The sequence below is a fragment of the Homo sapiens genome, chromosome 22 (assembly GCF_000001405.40).
Source record: "Homo sapiens chromosome 22, GRCh38.p14 Primary Assembly".
Classification (NCBI taxonomy): Eukaryota; Metazoa; Chordata; class Mammalia; order Primates; family Hominidae; genus Homo; species Homo sapiens.
The window spans coordinates 19604809-19618721 of record NC_000022.11 but is presented as its reverse complement, the minus strand read 5'-3'; the positions used below and the strand labels follow the sequence as shown (position 1 = coordinate 19618721).

The window sequence follows — 13913 nt, the reverse complement described above, 5'->3', positions numbered from 1 at the left end:
ACCCCCAACCTGGATTCTGGGAGGCAGTGTGGCTGACAGCTCTGCAGGGACATGCCGCTTGACCATGAGTGGCTTTTTCATACTTTCTATATTTCAATGTTAGAGAGAAGAAAAAGCACTATTTAGCTGGGAACAATGGCTCACACCTGTCATCCCAGCACTTTGGGAGGCTGAGGCAGGAGGATCAGCTGAGCCTAGGAGGTCAAAGCTGCAGTGAGCTAGGATTGAAACTCTGCACCCCAGCCTGAGTGACTGAAAGTGAGACCCTGTCTATTAAGAAAAGAAAAGAAAAAAAGGCTGGGCATGGTGGCTCATGCCTGTAATCCCAGCACTTTGGGAGGCTGAGGTGGGTGGATCACCTGAGGTCAGGAGTTCAAGACCATCCTGCCCAACATGGTGAAACCCCATCTCTACTAAAAATACAAAAATTAGCTGGGCGTGGTGGTGCATGCCTGTAATCCCAGCTACTCAGGAGGCTGAGGCAGGAGAATCGCTTGAACCCAGGAGGCGGAGGATGCAGTGAGCCAGGATCGTGCCACTGCACTCCAGCCTGGGTGACAGAGCGAGACTCCATCTCAAAAAGAAAAATAAAAAAGAAAGAGAAAGAAAGAAAATATGATTTATCTGCCCTGTCACCAAGAAAAAAAAAGAAAGAGAGAGAGAAAGAAAGAAAGAAAGAAAGAAAGAAGGAAAGAAAATACGATTTATCTGCCCTGCCATCAATTTGTCACTTTGAGAAAGAAAACAAGAAAAGGTTCTTGCCACAACAGACATACAAAGCATAATCTGCCGGTTTGGGAGGAAAGAGCCTTTTCCAGGGACTTTCTAGAAAGGCCTCTCTTGTTACCTGGCCTGTCAAGGTGTGTGGGGGCGGGAAATGCCGCTCTGCACCGACCCTGGCGCGGCCTGGAGCTACTGGCCCGGGACCTGGAATGGAGCAGGATTCCCACGTGCCCTTCGCGGGCTGTGCAAAGGGCGGCCAGGCAACCGCAGGAGACAGTCTCTCTAACGAGTAGAAACTTTTCTTACTTTTAGCAAACCAGCAATGCTTACTCTCTCAAATGGGGTCTTCTCTTTTAGAATCAACATTAGAACCTGACTCTGCCCCCCATGACATAGGCCCCAAAGAAAGACATCCAGGAACCAGCGTTCCTACGCTATGCTCCCTTTCCTTCAGGTGAGGGCATCGGCTTTAGCAATCTCAGGGACAACACTCACTTTTGCATGAAGAACTTTCATAAACTCCACACCTGAGTTTCAGGCTGGAAAGAAATCAAGAAAAGCCAGTGAAATTTGATCACAGAACGCCCCAGCTCAGCAATGCATCACCAGAAGTAATAGAACCTCCTGCAGGGTTCTGACCCCCTCCCTCCCCCTGCCAACACGTTTTTAACAAAAGCCAGACCGCAGGGACTACATCAAACCTTAACACTTCTGCTCATCAGAGGACTCAGTCAACAGAGTAATGGCAACTGACAGAATGAGAAAAAATATTGGCAAATCATACATCTGACGAGGATCAACAGCCACAACATAGAAAGAACTCTTGGCTGGGCACGGTGGCTCACGCCTGTAATCCCAGCACTTTGGAAGGCCGAAGAGGGTGGATCACCTGAGGTCAGGAGTTCGAGAACAGCCTGGCCAACATGGTGAAAACCCATTTCTACCAAAAATACAAAAATTAGCTGAGCGTGGTGGTGCGCGCCTGTAATCCCAGCTACCAGGGAGCCTGAAGCTGGAGAAACGCTTGAACCCGGGAGGCAGAGATTGCAGTGAGTTGAGATCGCGCCACAGTACTCCAGCCTGGATGTGAGAAACAAACTCACTCATCCAAACCCAAAGAATGGACTCAGAGACCCAGAGAACAGCCAAAGTGAGACTTTTAATGACGATCTTGCCTGATAGGCAGGCACAGCCAGCACAGTTTCAATAGGCAATGTATCCCCTAGTGTGCAGGTCCCTCCCCCAGTTCCTCATAAAGTGAGTACTATGGGGCTACAACCTTCCCGGACATCGCCTACTGATTGTTCTGATTGTTAGGTAGGGCCTGTAGGTGTTTTTTTTTTTTTTTTTTTACAGTTATCTTGCTGCATTTTGTTGCAGCCCACAATGCATTGCAATCCTAGTTAGCTCAGGGGTTCTCCAAGTTTTTGACTTGTGACCTAAGTAGCTGGGCAGGCTGAAAAGAACAGACAAAGCGAGCTATTTTGAAGACTAGTAAGCTTTCGTCTTAGACTGAATTTCTTTGGTTCAGGTGAAGGCAACTAAGGGTGGGGAGGGTGGGGGTGCGGGGCGTGGCAAGAAGAGAGGGAAGGGGAAGGCCGACAAGCAGTCATTGGCTATCCAAGCAGGGGCCTGGTATATCCTGTTTCTTCTGTAGTTTGCTGACCTAAGCCAATTCAATGCACTTTGTCTTGGAAATAGACCACTGTATACATTATTTCCTTCATGGGTGACAGAGCAAAACTCTGTCTCAAGAAAAAAAAAACAACAACACACAACAACAACAAAAACTTTTAAAACTCAACAACAACAAAATCAAATAATCCAATCTAAAAATAAGTGAAAGCCTGGGAGTGGTGGCTCATGTCTGTAATCCCAGCACTTTGCCAGCACTTTGGGAGGCTGAGGTGGAAGGATCCCTTGAGGTCAGGAGTTCGAGACCACGCTGGGCAACATAGTGAGACACTGTCTCTACAAAAAATAAGAAAAAATGAAATTAGCTGGGCATAGTGGCGCATGTCTGTAATCTCATCTGCTTGGAAGGCTGAGGCAGGAGAATCACTTGAACCCAGGAGGCAGAGGTTGCAGTGAGCTGGGATCGTGCCACTGCACTCCAGCCTGAGTGACAGAGTGAGACTCTGTCTCAAAAAAAAAATCAAGATGGTAAATTGTATAATATGTGTTTTTACCACAATAAAATCAAACCACAGCGACTGATGACCCTATTCATTTCAATGCTCATATCGTATCTGAACAGTATCTAAAATAACAACACAGTTCCTTCCTGTTTTCCTAGCTTTAGGTAAAATAATACTCCCAAGTTCTTCAAAATGATGTCCTATTCCTTCAGGAATGCAGACAAAATTGACAAAAGTATTCATCCCAAAGACTACTGTCTCTGAGGTGGCCATCTGACAGTCTGGGAAGGACTCCCTCTCCATGGAAGCTCTCGTTGTGATCTGGGAAGTGTCCCACATCCAAGACACCAGTTCCCAAGCCCAGGTGCATCCCGACAGCCGTGGGCCGATTGTTCAGGACGTGGCACCAGTCATCATGATGGTACTGCCAATGTTGTCTGTGAACACACACAAGGACGGGGCTGCAGCTTCGACGGGAGCAGAGAGGTTACTCACACCGCCTGCCCACCTCCCTCGGTACACAGAGTAAATAAGAGAAGAGAGCAGGCATCGGCAACAAGAAACTGTGTTTAGGCAAACACAGAGTTGCAGTCGCTCACTTCCCAGGCTGGACACACTCCCTCCTGCTAAATGACAGTGGCCAACGACAGTGTGTGGGAGGACTTTGAGAGTTTTTGGGTAAAAAGGCCAACCTCACTTTCAAAAAGAGTGAAAGTAGAGTAGAAGGAAACAGAGAAAGGAACGCAGTATTTTTAAAGCCCTGACAGGTGGCGGTCCCCTGTGGTGCTCTGGTGGCCGGGCTCTGGTCTCCAGAGTGTCTGCTGGAGCCACTCGGGTGGTAACTGGGGAGGCATCACAGTGACCCGGTGCGCTTTTTTTTTTTCTACTCTACATGATTTCCCCTTAAGAAGGGGCCAATATGCTGAAAATAATTATAAAAAACACCCAAAGAGGCAATAGAAAGGTTACTTTTTTTTTAGATCCAGGTTTTGAACATTTAATTTTTCCTAGGAAATTGTCTATTTTAATGAAATGTTCAAGTGTTGGAGCACAGAGTCATGCATAGCTAATAAGTTCTCTCTTCTTGTATTAACATTTCTGCTGTATCATGCCTGCCATCACCTCTATTTTCAACATGGCAAGGATGCCCCTGGACCATGTAAAATGTCAGAAAGCTGAAGGCTGTGGGAGCCGGAAAGAGAGAGGCAGGTGGAGTCACGTGGCAGACCATGACCCAGTGAGTGTCAGAGAGAAAGCTCTGAAGGGTGTGGGAGCCAAGAGCAATATTCAGAATTCAGTAGCATTCAGGCTCACTAACACAAATGACTGTAAAATGCAGTTTTTTTAAGTGTGCTTTACCACAGCAGCACATTTAACTATTTATTTTATTTATTTATTTATTTTGAGATGGAGTCTCACTCTGTCACCCAGGCTGGAGTGCAGTGGCGCAATCTTGGCTCACTGCAACCTCTGCCTCCCGGGTTCAAGCGATTCTCCTGCCTCAGACTCCCAAGTAGCTGGGACTACAGGCGCCCGCCATCATGCCCGACTCATTTTTGTATGTTTAGTAGAGACGGGGTTTCACCGTGTTGGCCAGGCTGGTCTTGAACTCCTGACCTCAGGTGATCTACCCACCTCGGCCTCCCAAACTGCTGGGATTACAGGCGTGAGCCACTGCGCCCGGCCCCACATTTAACAATTAAAAAAACTTTTTTTGTAGACCGTGTCTCAGTTTGTTGCCCAGGGTGGTCTTGAACTCGTCTTCAAGTGATCCTCCAGTCTTGGCCTCTCAAAGTGTTGGGATTACAGGCTGATTCTAAAACATGTGATGGGAAAGCCAAGAGCCGAGAACAGTCAGATGTGTTCTGAAGGGCAACGTGGGGCATAAAGATGGATCGCAAAGCTGAAATACCCAAAGGCTGTGCCGGCTCAGGACAGATGAGCAGTCCCAGGACGGAGAAGAGTCTAGGACCAGACTCAAGAAACTGTGGCCACGTAACAGATGGCCACGTGGCATTACAGCCTGTAGGAGGGAGAAGGGACTCGATTCATGTCCATGTGGAAAAAGAAAACAGAACTGAATCTCTATGTCACACCTTACTCCAAAGACCTCAAGATAAAACCTTACAACTTTCAGAAGAAAATGCAGAAGGCTTTATGACTTTGGTATGAAATATAACTTCTTGATTAAAACACTGAAAGCACAGAGCAGATTGCTGGATTAGTCTACATTCCACTGTAAACGTTCTATATATTAAAAGACAAAATAAAGGAGTGAAAAGACTTTAAGCCACAGACTGGGAGAAAAGCTTTGCAGAGGATAGAGCCAACTAAGCATTAGAATCCAGAATATTCATAGAATCTAATAACTTAATTAAGAAAAGGCCAAGAACCCATTGAAAAGGGGGAAAACAGGAACTGGTAATTCACAAACTGGAAACAGAACGGACCACAGAAACCAGAAAGACGGCTCCCACGCCTGTGGTGGGGGGTGATGCAGAGCAGCCTTGGCCAGAGCTGTGGCGGTGTCAGGAGGCCAAGGACAGCCATGCCGTGGGACCTGGCAAGCCCGTGTCTCAGTACCTGCCCTGGAACCCCTTGCGCCTGCATGAGACTGTTCAGTAGCCGTGCTAGACTTGCAGAAAACTGGAGTCCCACCCCCACCCCGCTGACACTCCATCAGTAGGATGGACACTGTGGCCCAGCCAGGACTGGCATTCCCCTGGTACTCTGTGTGCCCCAGCAACCCTGCAACTATTCATGAATGAACTGGAGTGACACATGTCACAGTTAGCGTGGCAGGCTCACACACTGCAGGTGAGGAAAGGAGCTGCAGAAGAAAGAGAACGACAGATGGATAGGTACGTGCATACACGAATAGACAGGTGGATGGATAGATAGGTACATACATACACGAATAGACAGGTGGATGGATAGATACATACATACACGAATAGACAGGTGGATGGATAGGTACATACATACACGAATAGACAGGTGGATGGATAGGTACATACATACACGAATAGACAGGTGGATGGATAGGTACAATCTTACACGAATAGACAGGTGGATGGATAGGTACATACACGAATAGACAGGTGGATGGATAGGTACATACACACACGAATAGACAGGTGGATGGATAGGTACATACACGAATAGACAGGTGGATGGATAGGTACATACACACACGAATAGACAGGTGGATGGATAGGTACATACACATATGAATAGATAGGTGGATAGATAGGTACATACATACATAAATGGATAGGTGGATAGATAGGTACATACATACATGGATGGATAGGTAGATAGATAGGTACACACACATATGAATAGACAGGGGGATGAATAGGTACATACATGAATGGATAGGTGGATAGATAGGTACATATGTACATGGATGGATGGCTAGGCACATACATATATACATGGCTAGATGGATAGACAGGTGTATATGTACCGGAATAGATACATACATACATATATGAATGGATAGAGAAATGCACACATACATGGGCAGGGAGACAGATGGAGAGATAGCTACATCTATCCATGCATAAAGGTAATAGGTCTCTATATCTCCTGTGCTACTGCAGAGTGTGATCTGTATCACTTGGAGGAATAAGCCTAGGCATTAGAAGTACAAACCCACGCAAAGAATGTTAACACCAAATTCAGGACTGCCACTCTCACCTCGGGGGCCTCTGGGATGTGGAGTGCATTGTCAGATCTCATTTCTGAAGAGGGATGGTGGACACTAGGATGTTTGTGATGCAAGCAAGTTCTTTGTCTTTTTTTTTTTTTTTTTTGGTCTGATCAACTTCATAAAGATGATTTTTAAAATGCCCAGCTCTGAGTGCAGGTCCTCAGCTTTACTCCTGAATGTGAGCCTCGCTGAGTCCGAAGCCGGTCGCAGGCCTGGGAAACCAGGGTGGGCTGAGGAGGCAACGGGAGGCAGAAGGGCCAGCAGGAAGGATGGGACCCCAGGCTAGGCTGGGGGGTCAGCAGCAGACATGGGTTGAAGGGGAGTGGGTCATGGGAAGGGCCTGTGCAGGATGGAGCCCAGCAGGGGATGGGAGAGGACACAAAGCCAGGCAGAAGGCGGTGATGGCAGCAGAGAGGAGCACCCAGGGGCCGCCGCTTGGCCACGAGTGTAGGCCACCCAGGGGCCGCCGCTTGGCCACGAGTGTAGGCCCACGGTGCCCTCAGCACAGTGCCCCAGGGCTCGCCAGCCACCCAGGACCGAGACTCGTAGTGCTGGGGGGCTGCAGCTCCTTCCCATCCTTTCCTAGGGCTGCCTCTAGCCCCCATCTCTCCAAATTAGCAGGGGAGCTGGAGCCCCTAAGACCCCAGCCTCACATCATCCTCACGCCTCTGTTGGGAGCCATGCCCTGCTGCACCCGAATCTTCTGTTTCTCCCTGACCATGGGCTCCTGAAGTTCGAGGCCTGTGGTTGTTCCTCTCTTCAACTTGGTTGCTGCGGTGAGTTTCTGGGAGGTTTGTCTTACTAGATTCTGTGCTTCCCTCCACCATGGGAACCTGGAATCTCTGTTTTGCTTTTTAGCATGCAGGTAATTTCCAGCCTTTACATCTGCCTATCAGACAAATCCTATCTTCATACCTCAGGCAGTATCACCCCCAACGTGTGGTCTAAATTTGGACTTCTGTATGCATGAACTCACCTCGAGGGCAGCCTCAATGTAGGCGTAGTGGGGGGATTGGGGTGGCGGTGGGGCTTGTTGCTGCCCCTGTGTGAGCTTCCTGCTGAACACCAAGGCGAGGGTTTACAAATTCCTGGGTCAGTGGAGGGGCCTCTGGGCATACGGGCTTTGGGAGTGGGGGCGCCCCAGCACGGGGAGGCACCCTGGCTGCCTCAACTAGAGATGCTTTGCTTATTTCTTCCATGACACAATTACCAGGGAAGATTTTATTTAAAGAAAGACTTTACTACTACAAATCGAAACAAATCGAAAGCCACTGTATTATTGCCTTTCTCCCTCTTGTTTTGTGGAAAACCACATGGCCCACTGTGATGCAAAATGAGAACTAAGACCTGCTAAGGAGCAGAAGTGGGGGTGTGAGGGGGGAGGGGCTCCACCAGCGGCAGGTGTGGTGGTGCTGCAGGTGAGACATGAAGGAAACAGCCTGGCGTGGCCCTTAACAGGCCAAGTCCCTGGGCCCTTCTGCCGCAGACTGCACCTTCCCACAGCACTAGAGCCGCTAGGCTGGGGGGTTGTCCCTCACCTCACCAATCTGCAGAGCAAGCAGCCCTGTCCCTTGGCTTGCTAAGAGCTGCAGGGGAGTCAGTGACTTACTCAGGAGCAGGCAGGTCATGGGGAGCCAGCCTCTGCACAAGCTCTACCCTGGGCAGCAGTCACCGCTGTGCCCCCGCCCCACAGAAGCCACAGGGCTGTGACAGCCCCCACAATGCACATGAGGAGGGGCAGGAGTTGGCTGCAGAAAGGGAATGATGGGAAGAGGAAAAATGCTGGCTCCTGGCAGCTGAGCCTTTTTTTTTTTTGAGATAGAGTCTCTGTTGCCCAGGCTGGAGTACAGTGGAGCAGTCTCGGCTGACTGCAACCTCAGCCTCCCAGGTTCAAGCGGTTCTCCTGCCTCAGCCCTTGAGTAGCTGGGATTACAGGCATATGCCACCACAACTGGCTAATTTTTGTATTTTTTAATAGAGACGGGGTTTCACCATGTTGGCCAGGGGGGACCTCCAACTCCTGACCTCAAGTGATCCACCCTCCTCGGCCTCCCAAAGTGCTGGGAACCACCGCACCCGGCCTTTTTTTTTTTTTTTTTTTTTTTGAGAAAGTTCTTGCTCTGTCACCCAGGCTGGAGTGCAGTGCAACAATCGCAGCTCACTGCAGCCTCGAACTGGCCTCAAGGGATCCTCCCGTCTCAGCTCCCTGAGCAGCTAAGACTGCAGGCACATGCCACCATGCCTGGTTTTTTAAATTTTTTCTTTTTTTAGTAGACACAAGGTCTCACTATGTTGCCCAGGCTGGTCTCAAACTCCTGGGCTCAAGTGATCCTCCTACCTCGGCCTCTCAAAGTGCTGGAATTACAGGCATGAGCCACGACACCTGGCTGCAGCTAAATTTTGAAGAGAACCTTGCTCTGTTTATTTTCTTTCCTTTCCTTTTTTATTTTTTATTTATTTTTTGAGACAGGGTCTCACTTTTTTGCCCAGGCTGGAGTGCAGTGGTGCAATCTCAGCTCACTGCAACCTCCACCTCCCTGGCTTAAGCAATTCTCCTGCCTCAGCCTCCAGAGTGGCTGGGACTACAAGCATGTGCCACTATGCCTGGCTAATTTTTGCATTTCTCTGTAGAGACGGGGTTTTGTCATGTTGCTCAGGCTGGTCCCGAACTTCTGGACTGAAGTGATCCTTCCCAGGAAGGAAGCCACACCCAGGCACACACCCTGGGCCTTGATAATACAGGTGCTGGGACTATAGGTATGAGCCACAATGCCTGGCCTCCTTTTGTTTTTCAAAAAATGCTTAATATTCACGCAAGATGAAGAGTTCTTTTCTTTTTTTCTTTTTTTGGGACAGAGTTTCACTCTGTTGCCCAGGCCAGAGTACAATGACACAATCTCAGCTCACTGCAAACTTCACCTCCTGGGTTCAAGTGGTTCTTCTGTCTTAGCCTCCTGAGTACCTGGGATTACAGACATGTGCCACCACGCCTAGCTAATTTTTGTATTTTTAGTAGAGACAGGGTTTCATCATGTTGGTCAGGCTGGTTTCGAACTCCCGACCTCGGGTGATCCGCCCGCCTCAGCTTCCCAAAGTGTTAGGATTACAGGCGTGAGCCACCGCACCAGGCCAAGATGAAGAGTTCTAGGGAGTGGCTGCAGCACAGTGAGAATGGATTTAACACCACTGAACTACGCACTTAAAAATGGGTAGACCTTTTATGTTCTGTATGTTTGACCACAATCACATATTTTTAAAAGAAAGGAAAGGATGCCTGAGATTCAGATCAGAGCTCTGACAGCCAGTTTGTTTTCTGTGTCCAACCCATTTTTCTTTGCTTCTGTCTCCCTCCATTTACTGACCCTCACTTTACTTTAAAAACCAGATCTCTGAGGAAGGCATGAGGCAGCCAATAGCCACCTCTGGAGGCCAGGAGGCACTGGCACCGCGATGCTGTGGGGTACGGTGTGGAGAAGGCAGTGTGGCCCTGTGAGCTCGTGAGCCAGTGGGGACAAAGCTCACAGCCATCGATGCCACGCAGCTCAGGCACCACACAGAGACGGCCACCAGCCTGGAATCTGCTCCATGTCTTGGGAGAAAAGGAGCCTAGAACTCAGCCAAAGCATGAAAGCCTGGGTGAGAAATGCTGGTTTTCACTGAGAGAACTGAAATAGAAACTTCAGTCTCTTTCTGCCAAAGACACCAAAGCCTCTGGAATCTGAGCCACTGAGGCCTGAAAAGCAATTCTGGTTCTGGGGCTTATCACCACCCCCATTAACCCCCTCAGTCAGGGGCTGGCCACCCCACTGCCCTGGACGCTGTTTAGGGCATGGCCCTTCACACACCTCCCCACAGAGGCTGCATCCGAGCTCCCCTGAGACTCACCACCTCAGCTCTTCTCATTGGCTAAATCCCATCCACCCTTCTGGTGTGGCTTCCTCTAAGGGACCCCCTGACCACCCAGCCTGAATGCACACTTAGGTGGATATGAGTATTTATGTGTGATGCTGTCATCCCCTGAGTCTGCCCCCTGGTTCCCAGCCTGCTCAACTCTGTATCCCAAGCGTCTGACAGGAATAATGATTTGCTGAAGGTTGAATGAACCCACGACACTGTCGGGGCTCAGACTCCTGCAACGTTACTGAGTAAATCCACGGGAGGAGAGACGGAGCTCAGCCTGGGACAGGCCTTCCCGTGGCACCAGCCTGGCCTTGGGAACACAAGCTTTTCAGGAACCTGCTGCTCATAAAAACTGTATAGTTGTCAAAGCCGAGCACATTCTGCTCCCAGGTTAGAGGGTGCGCGATTCTATCCGAATGTTGATTCTGAAGATAAACTGCCCTTTAGCAGCAAGTGGGGCTGAAAATGAGGCTCTCAGAATGGAAACGCAAACTTCGAAACTGGTGAGGGCGGGAAGCTGTTGTAAACATCGCTGATGCATAGTCGGCCCGTAGCTCAGCTCTCTCTTTGGGAACCTTGCCCACCCCCTCCCCTGCCAGGCAGCAGGCTGCACGCCCTGCCTCCCTCCGGGAAGCACCTGGCCTGACATCACTCCACTGTCATCAGGCAGAGGACGGGCACATCCTGTGCTCAGCCCTCCAAAAGCAAACACAGCGGGCTGGGGAGAGGCTGGAGCTGGATGCAGGGCACCTGCAAACCCAGCCCTCTCCCTGCTCCTGGAGGCACAGGCACCTCCTCCCCGGGTGCGAGGAGCAGCCCTGAGCAGGGCTGCCTAATGGGGAGGCAGGCTTGGGCCCACGCAAACCTTTCTGTCTTTACTGTGGGTGCATCGGCACCAAGGGCAGGGGCAGGCACTGCTCTTCCGGTGTGACAGCAACCCGGTGCCGGGTGGAGAGGGATGACAGGGAAAGGTGAGAGGGAGCTTCCCAGAGCACCGGAAATGTCCTATCCCTGGGTGGGATGTAGATTTCATGAAAGTTCATCAGCCAAAACTCCTGTTATGGGAAACAAGATCTGTGCATTTTGTTGTATGAAAATTATGCCTTACTTAAAACAAAACGGATCACACCCACTAGGATGACTGCTATTAAAAAAACACACACACACACATGCTGGTGAGGATGTGAATGAAGACGGTGGGACCCTCATGTGCAGACGGTGGGACCCTCGTGTGCCGATGGTGGGAATGTGAGATGGTGCAACTGCTATGGAAATCAGTGTGGCTGCTCCTCAAAAGTTAAAAGTAAGAAGAGCCTCTGATCCAGCACACCATTTCCAGGTGTAGATCCAAAAGAAGCGAAAGCAGGATTGGGGCAAATGCCCACCCATGCTGAAGAGATAGAGGGAACCTGAGTGCCCATGAGGAGATGAATGGATAAAGAAAAGATGACACATCCGCAGAAGGCAGCATCACTCAGCCTGGAGAGGCAGGGAACTCGGACACACACCGCCACGTGGATGGACCTTGCGGATATTATGCAAAGTAAAATAAGTCAGTCACAGAAAGACAAATGCGGAGTGAGTCCACTGACATGAGTTCTCTAGAATAGCCAAATTCACAGACAGAAAGCAGAATGGTAAGCTGGGGAGGGGCTGAAAAGAAGGGAGAAAGGAGAGTTGTGGTTTAGTGGGTACAGTGTTTCAGTTTTGCAGGATGAAAAGGATTTTGGAGACTGGATGCACAACAACGCGGATATACTTAGGTTATACTAAGGATATACTTAGGATATACTTAGGTTATCGAACTGGGTGCTTAAAAATGGTTATGATGATAAATGTCATGTTGGGCGTTTGTTACCACAAGTGAGTAGAAAAGCTGCACAGTGATGGGGCCAGGGATCTTAGCAGCCCCCATCATCCTCATCCTTACTTCTCAACCACGCGGCCCTGGCCCTTCTGTGTCGGCCCCACTTCCTCAGGAAACACCAGCCGTGGCCTGAAGAGACCCTCCAGAGTCCCCGTGGCCGACCCCAGGCCTGCTTCCCCACCGACTGGCTGGGGTGTCTCCTGTTATCTGGAAAGGCTGCTTCCCAGAGCAAGTCTAGAACCGCCCCACTGGGAGCAGATGGTACTATGCGAAGGCCACTGTCACGCACGGGGCTGCCATCCCACGGGCTGGCCCTGGGCAGGTGGGTCTCTGGGACCAGCTCTGGCAGCACAAGAGGAGCCCCCGGCCCTGCCACCCTTCAAAGAGCACCACCTGAGCACAGGACAGAGGCCCGCTGCCTGTGGGGCCACCACAGACCCCGGCCCTCTTAATGAACACACGGCGGGCGGAGGGGGGCGTCCCTCGGAGGCAGGCCCTGGCAGCCACAGGTGTGGGACAGTTGATGGCATGTGGGCCGCTGCCTTCTCTCTGGAACCCGTGCAGTTGTGCAGTTGGCCCCCAGCACAGCCTCTTCCACTCCGATTAAGCACCAACGGTTTGTGCCAACCCCATGAAATGTGACTACCAACCTGACTTTGTCATCGCAGGAAGGGAGGGAACGCAGGGCCTGGGCTTGGCAAGCGTCTTGTGGGAAGGGCCAGTTGGTAAATATGTTAGGCTCTCCAGGCCACATGGCCTCTGTCCCAGCTACTCAACCTTGCCGTGGGAGCAAAACAGCCCACACAAAGCAAAAGGAATGGGCACCACTGTGTTCCAGTAAAGCTCATTTATGGACAGTGAATTAGAATTTCAGATCGTTTTCACATGTCATGAAATCTTTTTATTTTTTACGATCATAACTCACTGCAGCCTCCAACTCCTGGGCTCAAGCGATCCTTCTGAGTAGCTAGGAGTACAGGCTCATGCCACCACTCCCAGCTAATTTTTTAATTTTTTGTAGAGACGGGGATTGAGTTGGCCTCAAGCAGTCCACCGCCTCAGCCTTCCAAAGTGCTGAGATTACAGGTGTGAGCCCCTTAGGCCAATCGTGAATAATAATCCTCCTCCTCTTCTCCTTCTTTCTTCTTCCTTCTTTCTGACCATTTAGCAATGTAACAAACATAGTAAGCTCCTGAGCCATGGGGTAGAGCGGTGCTGGGATCTGGCCAACAGGTCACAGCTGATGATCCCAGCTCTGTCCCTAGGTCCAGACAGGCCCTCCCCAACAAGTGTCCCTCACTACCCACTCCCCAGGGATCATCCTACTGCGAAATGTGAACCACAATGACATCAGCTGCAGAGGAAGCAAAGCGGATAAACAGAGAGGCAATGAGGTCAGAGGGTCAAAGCCCATATCACAGTCTGGACTCGTGCCTGGCGCTCACGCTGTCACTCAGAAGAGCCCATCAAGCTTCAAGACTGTCCACGGAACTCTTGGCTCTCCCTGAGGCTGCCTGCACAGTTTAAACTCTAAAGACATGAAAATCGATTCACTAGAAAGTTAAACCAG

The 13913-nt window shown here is 50.2% G+C and overlaps 5 annotated features.

Moving 5' to 3' along the window:
• Positions 412-990: an enhancer, noted in NCBI's record as "H3K4me1 hESC enhancer chr22:19605255-19605833 (GRCh37/hg19 assembly coordinates)". NCBI's record gives its function as "activates a minimal SCP1, AML or CMV promoter by ChIP-STARR-seq in naive H9 embryonic stem cells {active_cell/tissue: H9 hESC(naive)}" and the evidence as "EXISTENCE:reporter gene assay evidence [ECO:0000049][PMID:30033119]".
• Positions 991-1570: an enhancer, noted in NCBI's record as "H3K4me1 hESC enhancer chr22:19604675-19605254 (GRCh37/hg19 assembly coordinates)". NCBI's record gives its function as "activates a minimal SCP1, AML or CMV promoter by ChIP-STARR-seq in naive H9 embryonic stem cells {active_cell/tissue: H9 hESC(naive)}" and the evidence as "EXISTENCE:reporter gene assay evidence [ECO:0000049][PMID:30033119]".
• Positions 11173-11746: an enhancer, noted in NCBI's record as "H3K4me1 hESC enhancer chr22:19594499-19595072 (GRCh37/hg19 assembly coordinates)". NCBI's record gives its function as "activates a minimal SCP1, AML or CMV promoter by ChIP-STARR-seq in naive H9 embryonic stem cells {active_cell/tissue: H9 hESC(naive)}" and the evidence as "EXISTENCE:reporter gene assay evidence [ECO:0000049][PMID:30033119]".
• Positions 12229-12796: an enhancer, noted in NCBI's record as "H3K27ac-H3K4me1 hESC enhancer chr22:19593449-19594016 (GRCh37/hg19 assembly coordinates)". NCBI's record gives its function as "activates a minimal SCP1, AML or CMV promoter by ChIP-STARR-seq in primed H9 embryonic stem cells {active_cell/tissue: H9 hESC(primed)}" and the evidence as "EXISTENCE:reporter gene assay evidence [ECO:0000049][PMID:30033119]".
• Positions 12797-13364: an enhancer, noted in NCBI's record as "H3K27ac-H3K4me1 hESC enhancer chr22:19592881-19593448 (GRCh37/hg19 assembly coordinates)". NCBI's record gives its function as "activates a minimal SCP1, AML or CMV promoter by ChIP-STARR-seq in primed H9 embryonic stem cells {active_cell/tissue: H9 hESC(primed)}" and the evidence as "EXISTENCE:reporter gene assay evidence [ECO:0000049][PMID:30033119]".